The sequence below is a fragment of the Homo sapiens genome, chromosome 3 (assembly GCF_000001405.40).
Source record: "Homo sapiens chromosome 3, GRCh38.p14 Primary Assembly".
Classification (NCBI taxonomy): domain Eukaryota; kingdom Metazoa; phylum Chordata; class Mammalia; order Primates; family Hominidae; genus Homo; species Homo sapiens.
The window spans coordinates 161242837-161259813 of record NC_000003.12 but is presented as its reverse complement, the minus strand read 5'-3'; the positions used below and the strand labels follow the sequence as shown (position 1 = coordinate 161259813).

Below are 16977 nucleotides of genomic sequence, written 5' to 3'. Positions count from 1 at the left end.
AAAAACAAAAAATAAAGTGACATCAGGGTCAGCAGGCCTGCTGTTTTTTAAAATAATGTTTTATTAGGACACAGCCACTCTCATTTACACATTGTCTATGGCCCTTTCATGCCACAACAGGAGAGCTGAGTAGTTGTGATAGAGACCATATAACCTCTAAAGCCTTAAATATTTATTTGATCCTACTATAAGTTATAGGATAAAAGGCACAGACACAGGGCAGAGTGATGAATTGGGGATATTCTGTAATCTACTAGTGGAATATTGTTTTATTAAATGTATTTACAAAGAATTAATGGCTTTGAAAGCGTTTATTTTATAATAATAAAGAAGGCACAAAAACTGTATATACAGTATGAGCTCACCACTATATAATCATCTGTAAGTATATATATTACATATAAATAATTCACATACATAAATTATTTTCATATATATTAGTATTATTTTATTTTTTATTAATTTTTTTTGAGACAGAATCTCACTCTTCTGCCCAGGCTGGAGTGAAGTGGTGCGATCTCAGCTCACTGCAACCTCCGCCCGCCAGGTTCAAGCAATTCTCCTGCCTCAGCCTCCTGAGTACCCGGGGTTACAGGCACCCTCCATCACACCTGGCTGATTTTTCTATTTTTAGTAGAAACGGGGTTTTTCTATGTTGGCCAGACTGGTCTCAAACTCCTGACCTCAGGTGATCCACACACCTTGGCCTCTCAAAGTGCTAGGATAACAGGCATGAGCCACTGCACCCAGCCCATATATATATATATATATATATATATATATATATATATATATATTAAAGGCAAGCCATAGACTGGGAGAAAATAGTTGTAAAATACATATTAACAAAGGACTATCATCTAAAATACACATCTTAAAATAACAAGAAAACAACCCAATTTAAAAATGGGCAAAAATCTGGACCGACACATCACCAAGATATACAGGTGGCAAATAAGCATATGAAAAGATGTTTATCATCAGTTGTCATCGGGGAACTGCAAATGAAAACAGCAATGAGATACTACTGCACACCTATTTGAATGGCTAAAATCTATAAACAACTGACACTACCAAATGCTGACAAGGATGCAGAGCAACAGGAACACTCATTCATTGAAAGTGGTAATGCAAAAGGATACAGCCACTTTGGAAGACAGTTTGGTAGTGTCTTCCAAAGCTAAACAATCTTACCATAAGATCCAGCAATCATGATTCTAGGTGCTTATCCAATTGATTTTAAAACCTAAGTTCACAGGAAAACCTGACCATGAATATTTATAGCAACTTTATTCATAATCACCAACAGCTGGAAGTACTCAAGATGTCTTTCAATAGATGAATGGATAAACAAACTGTGGTACATCCATACTATAGAATATAATTCAGCAAATAAAAAGAAATGAGCTAACAAGCCACAAAATACATACAACATTAAAAATGCATTGCTAAGTTAAAGAACCCAGTATGAAAAGCTACATGTTATATGATTCCAATTATACGACATTCTGAAAAAGGCAAAACTATAGAGACAGTAAAATGATTAGTGGTTGCTAAGAGTTTAGGGTTTAGGATGAATAGGGGAAACACAGGTGATTTTTAGGGCGGTAAAATTCTAACACTGTAATGCAGATACAAGACATTACCCATCTGTCAAAACTGTAGAAATTTACAACACAAAAAGTAAATTTAAAAAAGTCATTTAGGAGGTCAGGTGATCCCAGGAAGAAATGAAGACTATGATAAGACTAACTCTTTTACAAGTATATGAAACAATTGCATTAAAGGTGCTGACCGAAATAACTCTGGAAATGAGTACAGTCTGAAAGACTAAGGGCAAAAGGGAACTGCACATAAAACATTTACTGTAGTTAACAAAGTTATTTTTTACAGGATGCAGATTAATAATTCTTGTACTACTATACTTGTATACTGGAATGTAATAATTAAGTAAATGGGTGGCAGATGGTGGAAATCAGGTTTTACACTGTTGGAATGGGAGTTCACAGATAAACAAGGACAGGAAGCTAGACTGACCCATGCAGTAATTAATTATAATTGGAGACATCAGTATGACTTCATGTGTACTTTAGTGTAGATAGATTTGGTACATATAGAAGTATTTATAAATATATATAAATACATAGGTTAGTAAAACAGCATTTTTTTTACTCTGTCAGTTGAGAGGAACTAAATGAAATGACCTCAGTAGCAGCAAGCATACTGAGCACCTAGATGTTGGTTTCTAAAACCATTCTCCAATAAATAAAACCAGAGCTCCTAGAAAAAAATGACCAATTCTAGGGCAATAAATATACAAGATGAGTCTGTAACACCTTATAGTACCAGAATGTAAGGAAATGCTCAAACACACACACACCATAACACAATGATGGGGGTTTGTCAAAGGACCATACACCCAAAGGAGACAACTGAAAGAGCTCCCAATGGCCAAAGCTAGAACAATTCGAACAAAATAATTAAAATAGTATCAGATTATAACACCAAGTATAAAATAAGTATTCATGACTCCATATGGCCAAACATGATTGAAATAATTAGTAAATTAAAAAGAGACAAATGTCCCATCCAGGAGAATTCCAAATAATTTACATAGATATCCCATGCTTAAGGAGGGGCAGTGTAACTCACTACCTCTTAGGCGTGGGCTGTGCAGTGACTTCCTTCCAAAGTGTACAGTAAAGAAAGGGGGAAAAGAGTAACTTTACAGTGGAGAAACCTGACAAACTCTACCTCAGTCAGGTGATCAAGATCAACATCAACAGTGAGAAATCATATTGATAGTAAGCACCACTGAAATTATGTCATGAAAATGGTACTTTGCCTCTGCAGTTTTTCTCCCAATAACCTATAGCCCCAATCTTATCATGAGAAAAACATCAGACAAATTCCAGTAGCAGGGCATCCTATAAAATAACTGAGCAGTATTCCTCAAAACTGTTAAGATCATCAAAAACAAAGGAAATCTGAGAAACTGCCACTACCAAGAGGAGCATAAGGAAACATGACAACTAAATGCAATGTGGTACCCTGGATGGGGCCCTGGAAAAGAAAATTAGATAATAACTAAGAACTCTAAATATATGGACTTTAGTTAGTAATAATGTATCAACATTGGCTCATTATAACAAGCATATAATTATATTTTATATCATACTGATATAAAATGTTAATAGGGAAAACTGGGTATGGAGTATATGGGAACTCCCTGCAGTGTTTTCTTAATTTTTCTGTTAAGTGTAAAACTAAATAGAAAATAAAGCCTATTAAAAAAGAAAAGTATCAAAATGTTAGCAATGACAAAATGTTAACAGTGAATCCCTGTGGTAGGATTATGGGTAATTCCTACATTTGTCTTTATGGTTCCCTATACCATATGAATTTTCTAGAACAAACTCTATGACTCTATGCTGCTCTAAAAAGTGTAGGCATACAAAATGCAACAAGAAACAAGTCATTTCTCAACTTGTTTAAATACTAAACACTAAAACTGTTTATAAATTTTGAAAGCAGATACTATTGAATTACAATTTGTTGCATACTGACTATGCTAAGAATTTTAGCAATCCTTTATGTAGTCAACAGTATTATGTCCTTTTAACAAACTGAAGAAATAGGTGTTCAGAAAGTTTAAGTCATATAGCTAATAAGTGACAGGTAAGCTGATTCCAAAACATTTTCATTTCCATCATACAGCTCCCAAGAATTGTCTAGCACTTAATAAACTATTTCTAGTACATATTTTACCTTAAAGTACTTCACAAAAATGCTGTGAAGCAGGTGATAAAGACCTTATTTATACGAAACTGTTTCAGAAGGAAAATGTGTGACAGGCACCACTGCAGTGCTGACTCCAACAAAAACAAAATAAAATTGCCATCAGATAAAACAATACAAGCAACATTGCTACAGAAACATAGTGGCTGCCCAACCTATTCCAAATAACCTTTAATTATTACAGATCTTGTTTTGTCACCCTGAATCATGTCTCTTCCCTAGACAATAACACAGTTTTCAAAATGTATCAAGTCAATCAACTAAAATTCAATTTTCTTATCACATTATTTTGAGTACAGAAAGATACCTAGACTGATTTCTTGCTGTCATCAAGGCTCACTACCCCACTGATCAAGTTATTTCAACATGTGACAGAACTGATAAGCTGAGAATACATAACACTGACATCAGTGTTTTTTATGAAGCCATTTCATGATTCCTTAAATCACAGATGACTCAACTCAAACTGCCCTATTTTTAAGTACATTGGTTCCTCATGATGCAAAATAAGCTAAGAGTAGATTATATGTGGGGCCTGAACAAGAAAAATTCAAATCCTGCCCAAAAAGTTATATCAGCATAAGAACAAGATCAAATACAGAGAAGCACCTGTCCAAAGGACGTAAGCCCCAGCTTGGAGGGGTACCCACTGGCCAAGTCTGGAACAATATGAACATCAAAATAAAAAACAAGAAAACAACCAACCTGCTATGGACTGCATGTTTATGGTGCCCCAAAATTCATCTGTTGACACCCTAATCCCTAATGTGATGGCATTAGGAGGTGGGTCATTTAAGAGGTAATTAGGTCATAAGTGGAGCCCTTATTGATGGGATGAGTGCTCTTATGAAGAGGTAAGAGATACTAGAGAGCTCTCACTCTGCTATGTGAGAAGATGGCAAGAAGACAGCCATGTATGTGCAAACCAGGAAGAGGGCTCTCACCAGAATCTGACCATGCTAGTTAGCACCCTGATCTGACTTCCTAGCCTCCAGAACTGTGAAAAGAAGGTTTGCTTTTTTATTCAGCTGCCTAGTCTATGGTATTCTGTTATAGCAACCCCAACTAAAACACAACCCAATTCTTAAAAATAGATGAAAGATGTGAACAGCCGTTTTACTGATAAAAAGATATACATAACAAATAAGCACATGAAAAGATGTTCAGTATTATTAGCCATTAGGGAAAGGCAAATTAAAATCACAAAAAGAAACCACCATCCACCTATCTGGATGGCTTTTTTAAACTGACAATATCAAAATATGACAAGAATGCAGAGTAAGTGAAAATCTCATACACTGCTGGTGGGAAAGCACAATGGCACAAGCCACTTTGGAAATAGTTTGACAGGTTTTTACAAAGTTAAATATAGGATGCAACAATCTCACTCCTGGTTATTTACCCAAGTAAAATAAAAAGCTGTACGGAAATGTTCACAGCAGCTTTACCACTAATCAGCAAATACTAGAAACTCAAACATACCTCAACATAGGAATGAATAAACTGTGATATTGATAATGCATTACTCAGTAACAAAAAGGAACCCACTTTGAACACAACACCTTAGATGAATCTCAAGTGCACCATGCTGAGTGAAAGAAACCAGACTTAAAAGGCTACATACTGCATGATTTCATTTATATATTTTGGACAAAGCAAACTATGAAGTTAGAAAACAGATCAGAAGTTGCCAGGGGTTAGGGATGGGAGGATTTGAAAACAAAACAAAACAAAAAAAAAACATGGAATTTTTTTGGGGTGGATGTGATAGAACTGTTCTATAATTCGACTGTGGTAATTACATGATCTATGTGTTAAAAGTCATAGATCTGTACATCAAAGAGAAATTTCACTGTACACTGAAAATAAATTTTTAAAAAATCAAGTAAAAATAACTATTGCAAAGGGCTAGATCCCACTGTATTAAAGTAAAAATTCAAGAGTCCACAATGACATGAAAAACAACTGAATAAGCAAATATATGAAAAAAGAGATAGCTCTTCCTTACAACAGAAAACCAACAAATAACCAAGTTTGGGAACATCTGGACTAATCAACAGCACACGCTTCCTGATACTATGCATTGAGAATTTGGCATCACTCCTGGCATAGTCCTGCCAAAAGGACATAACCTAAAATTAATCTTGAGAAAACATCAGACAAACCCAAACTGAGGTCACTCTACAAAACAACTGGCTTGGACTCTTCAAAAATGTCAATTACATAAAACATTACACTCAGAACTAGTCCAGATTAAAGAAGACTGAAGAGATATGAAAACCTAACACAACACAGAATCTTAGATTTACTATTTTTATGAAGGACTTTATTGAGATTACTGACATCTTAATACGGCCTATCAATTAGATAACAGTTTTGTGTCAATGTTAATTTTCTGATAGTGATCACTACACTGTGATTCGAGAATTCCTTGTTTTTTGAGCGGGGGGGGAATGCTGAAATATTTAAAGGATAAAGAAGCATCATGTCTGCATTTTACTCTTAAATGTTGAGGAAAAAATTATTAGTGAGAAGGGGAAAGAAAGCAAATGAGGCAAATTGTTTACATTTGGCAAATCTAGGTAAATGGTATCCGGGAATACTTGCGACATTTTGTAAGTCTGAAATTATGGATAATTAAAAATATTTTTAAAAATAAACATTCCTTGGGCTGGAAATAACATACCCAGTTATGTAAGGATTGACTCAATGTGAGCACATTTACTAAAATTAAAGAATCTAGGGAAAACTCTGGTACTAAGTACTGACCAGGGAGGTATCTCCTGGCACACAGCTCAGAGCTTCTGGGTTCTACTATGGCAAGGAATTAGCCTGATGCTGTTAAACATCTCAATTACACAAGCAACTCTACCCCTGAACTTTTCTTGCTCATCAGACTTTTTTTATTGGGGGAGTGGGGGAACAGAGTCTCACTCTGTCGCCCAGGCTGGAGTACAGTGGCCAGATCTCGACTCACTGCAACCTCTGCCTCCTGGGTTCAAGTGATTCTCCTGCCTCAGCGTCCCGAGTAGCTGGGACTATGTGTGCACCACCACGCCCGGATAATTTTTGCATTTTTAGTAGAGACAGGGTTTCACTATGTTGGCCAGGCTGGTCTTGAACTCCTGGCCTGAAGTGATCTGCCCTCCTCAGCCTCCCAAAGTGCTGGGATTACAGGCGTCAACCACCACACTTGGCCCCTCAGTGACTTCTGACTCTAAATCAGCAGCTTCAGGTGCAGATTTGGCTACAAAAAAAAATGGTCATAATGACTTGTAAATTATATTTATAAATTGGTTATAAATCATGTTCTTGTGCATTTGATTAATACCAGCCTTCCCAAGCCATAACAACTTTGGGATATGACTAAGAATACTGGGGGACCCACAAGACTCTTGAGTATGGGAACCTTACTATATAGTATGGTAGATTTATCAAGGTTATTTAACTTTGTGCAAGCTCTTGGATGACAGCTTTTCTCTTAGCTACATTCGTTTGCCTGTCACAGCCTTTCAACCAAGAAGTTTCAATACTTAATAGAACATCAAAATGAGTAAGACTAAATAAATGAGTAAGACTAAATAAGGTTAGTGGGAAACTATATTTTTCAGTGGGAAGATTATAAAAGTACTTAAATAACATTAACAATTCTACTTTGGAAAATTGCGTAAGATACTTTCTCATGTAAATATGACACCAATGCGACCATTTCAAACACACGAAAAAGGGCAAGAATGGCTTTATTTTCATGCTTTAAAATATCTTGACACGGAAGATGTAAACACAGACCACCAATGAGAACTTGCTTTGGTCAATCTTACCTTTGAAGAACTAGGACAAGCCATTCCTACCAGGCCACCACCAAAGACAGGATATGGCTTTTAGATCCACAATTTTAACAAAATATGCAGACAGAAAAGAAGCCACTATAGAAAATTTAGGACTTTATCCATAATTTCAAAATTGGAAAGTCCAATATTAAAAAAAAGAAAAATGTTCCACACAGTGGCACTTGCTCAATCTCTTTATTTAGTGGCACACATGGAATGAATGAATTAGCTCTTACTTGCGGCATACTTAACAAGTCTGATCTTGCTTATAGAAATTGGATCTTAATACTTCATTCTCAGAATACTTCAAAACGTAAGCCACAGTTTTTCTTTCAAGGATGTGGGAAGCATTCCTCATTCAAATCTGATTAATGGTTTTATAAAGTATGTACCTCATTTTTATTAGCCATTATCTTCATGCTGGATTCTAATATTCTTTTTAATGGTGATCTGTTCAATGACAGAAACTTATAGAGAGAAAATTCCTTCTCAATTTATAAACAAAAATTTTAAAAGCAGCATTTTTGATGTGGTAGGAAGATATTTATGACAAAAGCAGCTACTGCCCTAAACTGGCAAAAACAACAAAAGAACAAATTGTTATTTAACCTTTAAATAACGAGTCTCTATTTGCTATAAATCTACAAATATTTTAAATATATTTCCTCCTACTGCAATAAAAATTAAGATAACTCTCTGTTTAACGGCTTTTGAAGAGTTAATTTTATAAGGAAATAAAAAAGATTGACTTGCCTCCTGAATGTCCAGTGATAAACTGAACCCTAATTTCCCTACCTCAACAACATAAAAATGATGTAAAGTGGATCAAAGTATGTAACAAGTTAATATTAAAAATGCTTCTTCATATGGTCTTTCACTAAAATAATCAACGTAAAAATAATGTAAAAATGTGTTTTTGCTTGAAGATTTAGTGAACGTTCAAGGAATCACAATTTTTGAGCTTTTACATCCAGAGTACTATACTATGTGAAAATACTACAGTGCCTCATATAAAAAAGCACAGTGATAAAATTCCAAATGTAAAATTGCCAAAAATCAATAACAACTACATTCTCCATAATCTTTCCTTATCTAAAACCTCAAAGCTATCCATCTGTTTTAGTGGTTTGAGTGAGCACTGAAAACAAACATGTTTATTCAGGTTTAAAACTAAATTTCTCCTCTTGAAATCTGGAGGCAAAGATAGTAGAGACACTTAAGGTAACTCTGTCCAACTTCTTAAGCCCATGTATGGAAACAGTCTACAACATCTCATTATGTCAGCATTGATGCACCTTCTTCACCAGTGGCATCTTGGGAAATATGAAGGTCTTCAAGCATCTCAGCCAGACTAATTCGAGGTGCTCCTTCATCATCGGTGTCACTTTCCACAGGGATGGCTGAATCTAAAAAAATACAAAGAGAATAAAATAAATACAAAGTATTTATATGTATACAAAGTATTAAATATATTTGAAAATATACAAATATCTACCTTATCATTATTATTATGTAACTACATTGTATCAGAAGCTCTTGTCTCTTACAGCAGTCATTCAAATTACATTCACTGAACAAATGAACTGAGTAACTGTAAGAATATACTTCCACCACTATAGGAGTGAGCAACTTAAGGGATCAAGCTAGAATGCAAATAATACTAACTGTAATATACAAAACAGTATTTTGTTAAGTTTTATTTATTGTTTTGCAAGTTTTTTTGTAGAAGTGTGACTAGAGTAGTTGAAAAAACAATTAAAGACATTTATGAGAATCAAAGCTTAAGATACCAAAATATTCATACTAGGAACTATACTTATATACAGAACAAATGACTTAAACACTCCTAGAACACCAACCTCTGTAAATGTTGACATTTTTTCGAATTGCCTCATCTTCTTCAAGATCTTCAAGAAAATCTTGGTATTGCCTTTAAATAAACATTTAAATATTTCATCACCAAAAATATAGTTATATTTTCTTCATTTAAGGACTTTCATTTTAAGGACTATGTAGACATACTGCTGTTTCCAACTCACATTTCATGAAACAATTTTATATAAACTCTCAGTTTTTTTAGACATCGGTGTCTTCACCATCATTAAAGCCACTTTTTGAATCATCCAATAAACTGTTTTAGAACACTGTCTTCATTTCTGCTTAAATTATTTGAGGAATAACACACTTGGCATCAATGAGCTGTTTCCTTTTTATCTCAAGCCATAAGTACTCATCTGCTATTTGTGATATTCATAATGTAATTATTTATTATAAAGTCATGTGCCACATATTCTATGATGCTCACACAACAAAATCACCTAATGATGCATTTCTCAGAAGGTATGCCCATTGTTAAGCAAAGTATGATTATATTTTAACTTTTCAAATGAATTGTTTACATTAACACTACAATTATTAGGTCATAAACCAGGAAATAATTACTAAATCTGTGTTAAATGTCTTTACATCATCTTATACTGATTCCATTAATACCTTGATAAGAATCCAAGATTATAATTGAGTGCAAGGATCAATTGTGTGATGCCTATTTCTTTACAACATAAAAAGTATTTATCATAAATATTTCCTTTGAGACAACATAAGAGATTTAAAGAAAAGCGAGACCTTTCATCATCTGTATCCATGTTTTCTCTCTCTCTTGCAAGCTCTTTCAATTTCCAGTTTCTACGACGCTGACGTTTGGTCCGGTCATAGCTCTTCTTGATTAATACCTGCAAGATAAATATTTGTAAAGTTACAAAGAATGGGAACTATACAGTGAGGCCACAAAATTCAATAAAGCTAAAAAATGACCAAACTAATGACACTGGTTACACCTCAGGAGAAAGGAGAAGGGATGGAGAGACAGTGTCAAGAGGACTTTTAAAATTTTTCTCCATGTATTTAACTTTTTATGAGAATGGATTCAAGCATTATTTGTACAATTGTTAAAATTTGCTAAAATTTTTCAGTGACTGAATACTGTTTTTCTTAATAACAAAAACTGTAGTTTTCTTTTAACTCAAACTTCAGTTTTCAGCTACCATTCATATAAATCATTCTGAATATCACAAGTAGATACTTTTTTTCTCTTATACCCACCAATAAGCATTTACAGAACTATATATAACTTTCACAACAATGTATCTTAGAACGCTTGTTTAATAAATTATAGAATGAAAATAATTTTACAAAATACAAAATATTGTAAGATTGCCATGATCTCCTCTTATGACCTTGTTAGAAATACCTATTTAGACTTACACTCCAACCACGCTGTTAATTCCTAATTTATCAACTAATAAAAGTACAACTGGGCAGGTGGTCGGAGTCCTTGATTTGTCATGGCTCTACTTTTTTTGCTCACTGCTAAAGAAATCAATGTTTATTCTAAAAGATTAAGCAAGTATAGAAGACAGGGTCTTTCACACTAATTTCATTCAGTTTCTCATGATTCTTAACCTCATCATGTTAGAACTTAACAGATTTTTCAGAATTAATAGTTTTTTTCCAAGGCTTGATACTGTGAAGATTATTTTTCACGGATATTTTATTCAGCTTTGAATAACAGCCTTAACTCTAAATGCCTTCTTAACTGAACAATGTATGTGAAACGAAGTGAGCCTAATAAAAATGAACCTGAAAAAATGCTAAATGTCATCATTTTTAGCTGCAAATTTATTTATTTATCTTTTGGAGACGGAATCTTGCTCTATCACCCAGGCTGGAATGCAGTGGCATGATCTTGGCTCACTGCAACCTCCACTTCCCAGGTTCAAGCAATTCTCCTGCCTCAGCCTCCTAAGTAGCTGGGACTACAGGTGCATGCCACCACGCCTGGCTAATTTTTTGTATTTTAGTAAAGATGGGGTTTCACTGTGTTTTCCAGGCTGGTCTCGAACTCCTAAGCTCAAGCAATCCACCCACCTCAGCCTCCCAGAGTGCTAGGATTACAGGCATGAGCCACCGCACCCGGCTAAATTTATTTTTGCTCTACAGATAATATCAGGTATTTTGATCGAGAATGAAAATGTGATTAGAAAAGGAACAATCACAATAAATCTTGGATTTACCCCACCAAGAAAAATTATTTAAAATGAAGCCAGGCATGATAGGTGACACCTGTAATCCCAGCTACTTGAGAGGCTGAGGTGGGAGGATCACTTGAAGCCAGGAGTTCGAGACCAGCCTGAGCAACATAACAAGACCCCGTCTCTACAAAACGTGTTTTAAACATTAGCTGGGAGTGGTGGCATGTGCCTGTAGTCTCAGCTACTCAGGAGGCTGAGGTGGGAGGATTACTTGAGCTCAGAATTTTGAGCTGCAGTGAGTGATCATGACACTGCACGCAAGCCTGGTCAATAAAGCAAGACTCCCATTTCTTTTTTTTTTTTTTGAGACTGAGTTTTGTTCTTGTTGCCCAGCCTGGAGTGCAACGGCGCAATCTCAGCTTACCACAACCTCCACCTCCTCGGTTCAGGCAATTCTCCTACCTCAGCCTCCCAAGTAGCTGGGATTACAAGCTTGCACTACCACGCCTGGCTAATTTTTTTGTATTTTTAATAGAGACAGGGTTTCTCCATGTTGGTCAGGCTGGTCTCGAACTCCCAACCTCAGGTGATCCACCTGCCTAGGCCTCCCAAAGTGCTGGGATTACAGGCTTGAGCCACTGCACCCAGCCTCCTGTTTCTTTAAAAAAAAAAAAAAAAAATTTTGCTATTATACCTTATCTGCAGTTTCAGAAATCTCTAAATTGATTTGTTATTTTCAAAAGTGTGAACTCCTACCTCTTACCCCTAAGAGTTACATTCATCCTCTTTAACACAGGAAAAAAGGGAAAAATCTAAAGCCTTACCACATCTGGAACTCTATCTGAGTTCATTTTGTTGACATGCTCATCATTTAAGTTACAGTTGGCCAAATCAAACCTGAAATGTAAACAATGAAAAACTTAGTGACCATTTACCCTTTGTGTGTAACTTTTTATTTTATGGCTATCACCTAAAACTTCCTAAAAATCAAACATTTAATATGCTTCTCACTTTAAAAGTTCTGTCATTTATTACACAATGAACATGCTTCTGTAGATGCTGGTAAAGACAATAAGGAACTCTGAGTTTCACTTATAATCAATTATTGTCCACCTTGCCATACATTTGTAAAAGCAAAACAGACTTACATATCAGTCCAACTTTAGAATTCAATTAGTTGCTTCCTTCTAGTTTATTTTAAACAAACAAACAAAAAAAAAACACCTCATTCTGTAGTAAAAGAAACTGAAATCCTAAAAGCAAAAGCAATATTTGAGGGTTTAATCACACACTCACTGAAAAACTCTGATTCAGAAAGAACTGATCTATGCCTTTACAAGCCCTTTGTATATATATAGTTGTCATATCTTAAAAGTGAGTTATCTGAGCAGTAGCAACTGCACAATAAAAAAGACCCAATCTGCAAAAGCAGTTCTAAATATGGATACAACCATATAACTTCAAGGCTCAATTAACAAAATCTTACAACAAATTACTCTTTAAGATTATAACCAAAATGGAGTAACTATGGGCTTCTGTCCAACCCAGTTTAATTTAGTTATCAACAATAAAATGAGTTATAAGGCTCCTAAGAACCCTTCGATCTTTTTAGAATAAACAATGTTAGTATTTTTAGGTAGTTTTGCTGGTTCCCAAAGAAAATTTGCAATCCTAATTGGCAGTTTAAAATATGAAATAATACAAACCCTAACACCAGGTCTCCGGGATTTAGAAGATGTCCCAAATGAGTACGACAAAAATACTGTTTATCTGTATTCATTTCAGATGTCTTCTGTACCCAGACTTCCCCGAGGGTATGCTTAAGAGGAAAGAAAATGTACTCTTCAATAATCTAAACATAACTCTAAAAGCATCTCAGAGAAAAGTTAAATACAATATTGATTTTTGGTTTTCTAATTTTTAAAGACAGAAAATTTTTTGTATTTTTCTGATGTATGAAACACTGTCAAAATTAACAAATTACTGAATCATGAGTATAGAAAGACTCACAAACAATTCATAAAAATAAATCATTGACTTTTTCTAAGATTTTATTCAAGACTTTTATAAAACATTAATAATGTCCCTAAAAATATATATATGTAGAATTTTCAAAAGAAATGTTTTCACAGGAAGATGGGCCAACATAGGCAGAGTGAACAAAATAACTGAAAAGGTAGGGGAATCTTAAAGCAAGAACGTATTCCAAGCAAACTCTTGCTTGACACAAGGGTTCAGAAAATCAGGGTCCAGACAAAACAGCCTAGAAATCCTGGTAGTAAACCACTAGAGAGGCCAAATCTTTATCAAATTAATTTTTAAAGTATCTACTAGTGTAGACTACAATCATTCTCTACATCTGCTATATATAATATAGTACATCTGCTATATATAATATATATATAGCAGAAACAACATCCCAATTTTTAAACTAGAAAACTATTAATTCCCTTTCTAACATGCCAACACCTTTAACAACAAAGACAGACCAACTGAAGTGAGATCGAGAGAAAAATACTAAGAGTTATAAATAAAATTAAGGAATCTCAAAATAAAGTTATGAAAAGAATCAAGTGTTTCTTATTGCAGTTGGTCAAAGAAAAAGAAATGAAAAAAATGAAAAGAAATAGAGCAGAAGGAGAAACTGAAATAAAAGACAAGTCTCAAACTTAAGAACTGCAAAAGAAAAGTCAATTAACAGGGAGACTACATTTTATTTAACAGGATTTACTTTCTAGCTATTAGACTTCTGCTTGTAAGAAATTTATTAACCTCTTCTAGCTATTTTTTAAAAACCAAGAAAATACAGTATCTGGTTTTATATCTGCCTGAAGGGAAATGATACTCTACATTTATTATAAATGAAAAGTTTGCCCTAAGTACATTACCTTAATTTATAAATAAAATGTAGAATGTCATCTGTCTTCCATTTCCATTAATTTTTCCCAAATTATCACAAGTTATTTTTGTCTCAAGAAGCATTATTAGCACGCACACACACACACACACACAAGGGTACCCTGGGAGTCTCTAGATACTATTTCACAGTAAAAGAAGCCAGACTTTCATCTTTGAAGAAACATTTGATTTCAGATATGGGTTATAAACTATACATGTGATTCTGGAACACCTGAATGCTGTGTTGCACCAGAAATCAAGGATGCTTTCAAAGACCAGGAGAGTCACGTCAAAACAACATAGGAACCATTCTGAAGGGGCTCCCATTGAATAAATTTAGGGCAATATGAGGATTTCAAAAAAAAGAAAGGGCAGGCGCTCATGCTCATTCCTATAAGGGAGGCAGTAGGATCGTTTGAGACAAGCCTGAAAAAACAGTGAGATTGACTCTACAAAAAATTAAAAAATAGAAATGAGACAGGTGTGGCAGCATGCTGAGGTGGTAAGATCACTGGAGCACACAACCTCAAGGTTCCAGTGACCTATGATCATACCATTGAACTCCAGCTCTGAGAGACAGAGTGAGACCTTGTCTCTTTAAAAAAAAAAAAAAAAAAGGAAAAGAAATGAAGGGAGAGGAGGAGAGAAGAAGAAAACAAAAGAAAATACAGTAAATGATACAATACTTATACTTCAGGAGATCACAATGATAATCACAAAGAGAGACACCACCTGTACATGTAAGCTAATTTTCACCACTGGAAATGATTCCTAGATCAACTCTTTACTCTAAAAATATTTGCTAAAAGAATTAATAATTTATGCATAGGCCAGGGGAGGTGGCTCACGCCTGTAATCCCAACACTTTGGGAGGCCAAGGCAGGAGGATTGCTTGAGCTCAGGAGTTCAAGACCAGCCTGAGTAACATGGAGACCCCATCTCTACAAAGAAATTAAAAAATTAGCTGGGCATGGTGGCACATACTTGTGGTCCCAGCTACTCAGGAGGCTGAGGCAGGAGGATCATTTGAGCCCAGGAGTTTGAGGCTGCAGTGAGCTATGAAGCCATACCGCACTCCAGCCCAAACAACACGGCAAGATCATGTCTAAAATTAATTAATTAAAAGAATGTATGCAGGCGAGCATTTCAGGAAAGCTACATAACCCCTAGTTAATAATGAAAAGCTCTTCTTTAAGAATGACAGCTAGTAAATGTAGAATAGAAATAGAAAATTCACCATTTTGTAACCCTGAATAAAATAATTAATTTATGGGCAAGAATTATCAACAGATGCTAAAGCCAGAAAAAAAAAGAGGTAACAGGAACTCAGTACTTGCATATTATTATAGTATTAAGCCACAGATTGCTTGCTGGTCAGAAGGAAAAAAAATCATAACATTACAATGGAGGAATCTGACTATCACTATGTTAACAAGTGAAACAGTCAGACATTACTTGTCTCTTGATATAATAAAAAGTACATGGCATCATCTCTGAAATATTCTGGCAAGAAAAATTTAACCTAAATGTAACCAAACCTTTAGATCAACTTTCCAGTTTAGAGGAAACACAATGAATTAAGAAGCTAGTTAAATGGCATCATGAGGAAACAATTAGATAGATTTAGAAGGTGGAGTATTCTACAAGATAAATGCACTAGTTGTCTAAGGAAGTTGGTATCATAACCAATAAAAGAAAAAAGAAGGGGACTATTATTAAATAAAAGACTAAAAAGGTATAATATTCCCATTTAATGAGTGGTCTCCAATTGAATACCTGTTTGAACAAGGCATAAAAGACACTTTTGGGACAAATGAGGAAATCTGAACACAGTAATCCCCCCCTTATCCATAGTTTCCCTTTCAAAGTTTTCATCTGCCCACAGTTAATCGCTATCCAAAAACAGGTTGGTGGAGTAGAATTAGATAACTTTAAGAAAGAGACTACATTCACACAACTTTTATTACAGTATATTATTATAATTGGTCTATTTTATTATTAATTATTGTTAATCTCTTACTGTGCCTAATTTATAAATTAAACTCTATCATAGGTATGTATGTATAGGAAAAAACAATACACATAGAGTTTGGTACTATTGTGGGTTGTTTCAAAAATCCACTGGGGGTCTTGGAATGTATCCCCATGGATAAGAGCAGAATACTGTGTAGACTGTATGTTTTATAGGTATGGTAACAACATTTTCATTATGTAGAAAAATATTCCTGTGTGTGAGAGATGCACACTGAAGTATTTAGTATTTGGTGATGACTTTTTAAAAGTCAAGATAACCACTACAAAAATAAAGGTCCTCCTCTATAAAAATAAAGCAAAGAAATGCCTTTTTTAAATATAATGGAATAAACATTTAAAAGATTTTTCCTACACAAAAGAGAATAAATTAACTTAACAGTCTAAGT

The 16977-nt window shown here is 34.6% G+C and overlaps 1 protein-coding gene across 5 annotated transcripts in view, besides 2 other annotated features; it reads right to left on the bottom strand.

The window, feature by feature from the left end:
- Positions 1926-2126: a silencer, noted in NCBI's record as "peak4895 fragment used in MPRA reporter construct". NCBI's record gives its function as "represses an SCP1 promoter by STARR-seq MPRAs in K562 erythroleukemia cells {active_cell/tissue: K562}" and the evidence as "EXISTENCE:reporter gene assay evidence [ECO:0000049][PMID:32103011]".
- Positions 5826-6026: a silencer, noted in NCBI's record as "peak4894 fragment used in MPRA reporter construct". NCBI's record gives its function as "represses an SCP1 promoter by STARR-seq MPRAs in K562 erythroleukemia cells {active_cell/tissue: K562}" and the evidence as "EXISTENCE:reporter gene assay evidence [ECO:0000049][PMID:32103011]".
- The window catches only part of NMD3 (NMD3 ribosome export adaptor), a 32431-nt gene continuing 21735 nt past the window's right edge, over positions 6282-16977 (bottom strand). For 3 of the 5 annotated variants that reach the window (XM_005247511.3, XM_005247512.2, NM_015938.5), the window contains exons 12-16: positions 13366-13478; positions 12484-12556; positions 10254-10360; positions 9488-9558; positions 7507-9034 (exon numbers count right to left, since the gene is read on the bottom strand). In XM_005247511.3, the coding sequence (XP_005247568.1) occupies positions 8904-9034; positions 9488-9558; positions 10254-10360; positions 12484-12556; positions 13366-13478 (495 nt within the window). In that variant the 3' untranslated portion in view covers positions 7507-8903. Of the gene's footprint in view, positions 7046-7506; positions 9035-9487; positions 9559-10253; positions 10361-12483; positions 12557-13365; positions 13479-16977 lie in introns of those variants that run through there. The other 2 variants (NM_001320227.2, XR_007095682.1) reach the window with 2 other exon arrangements.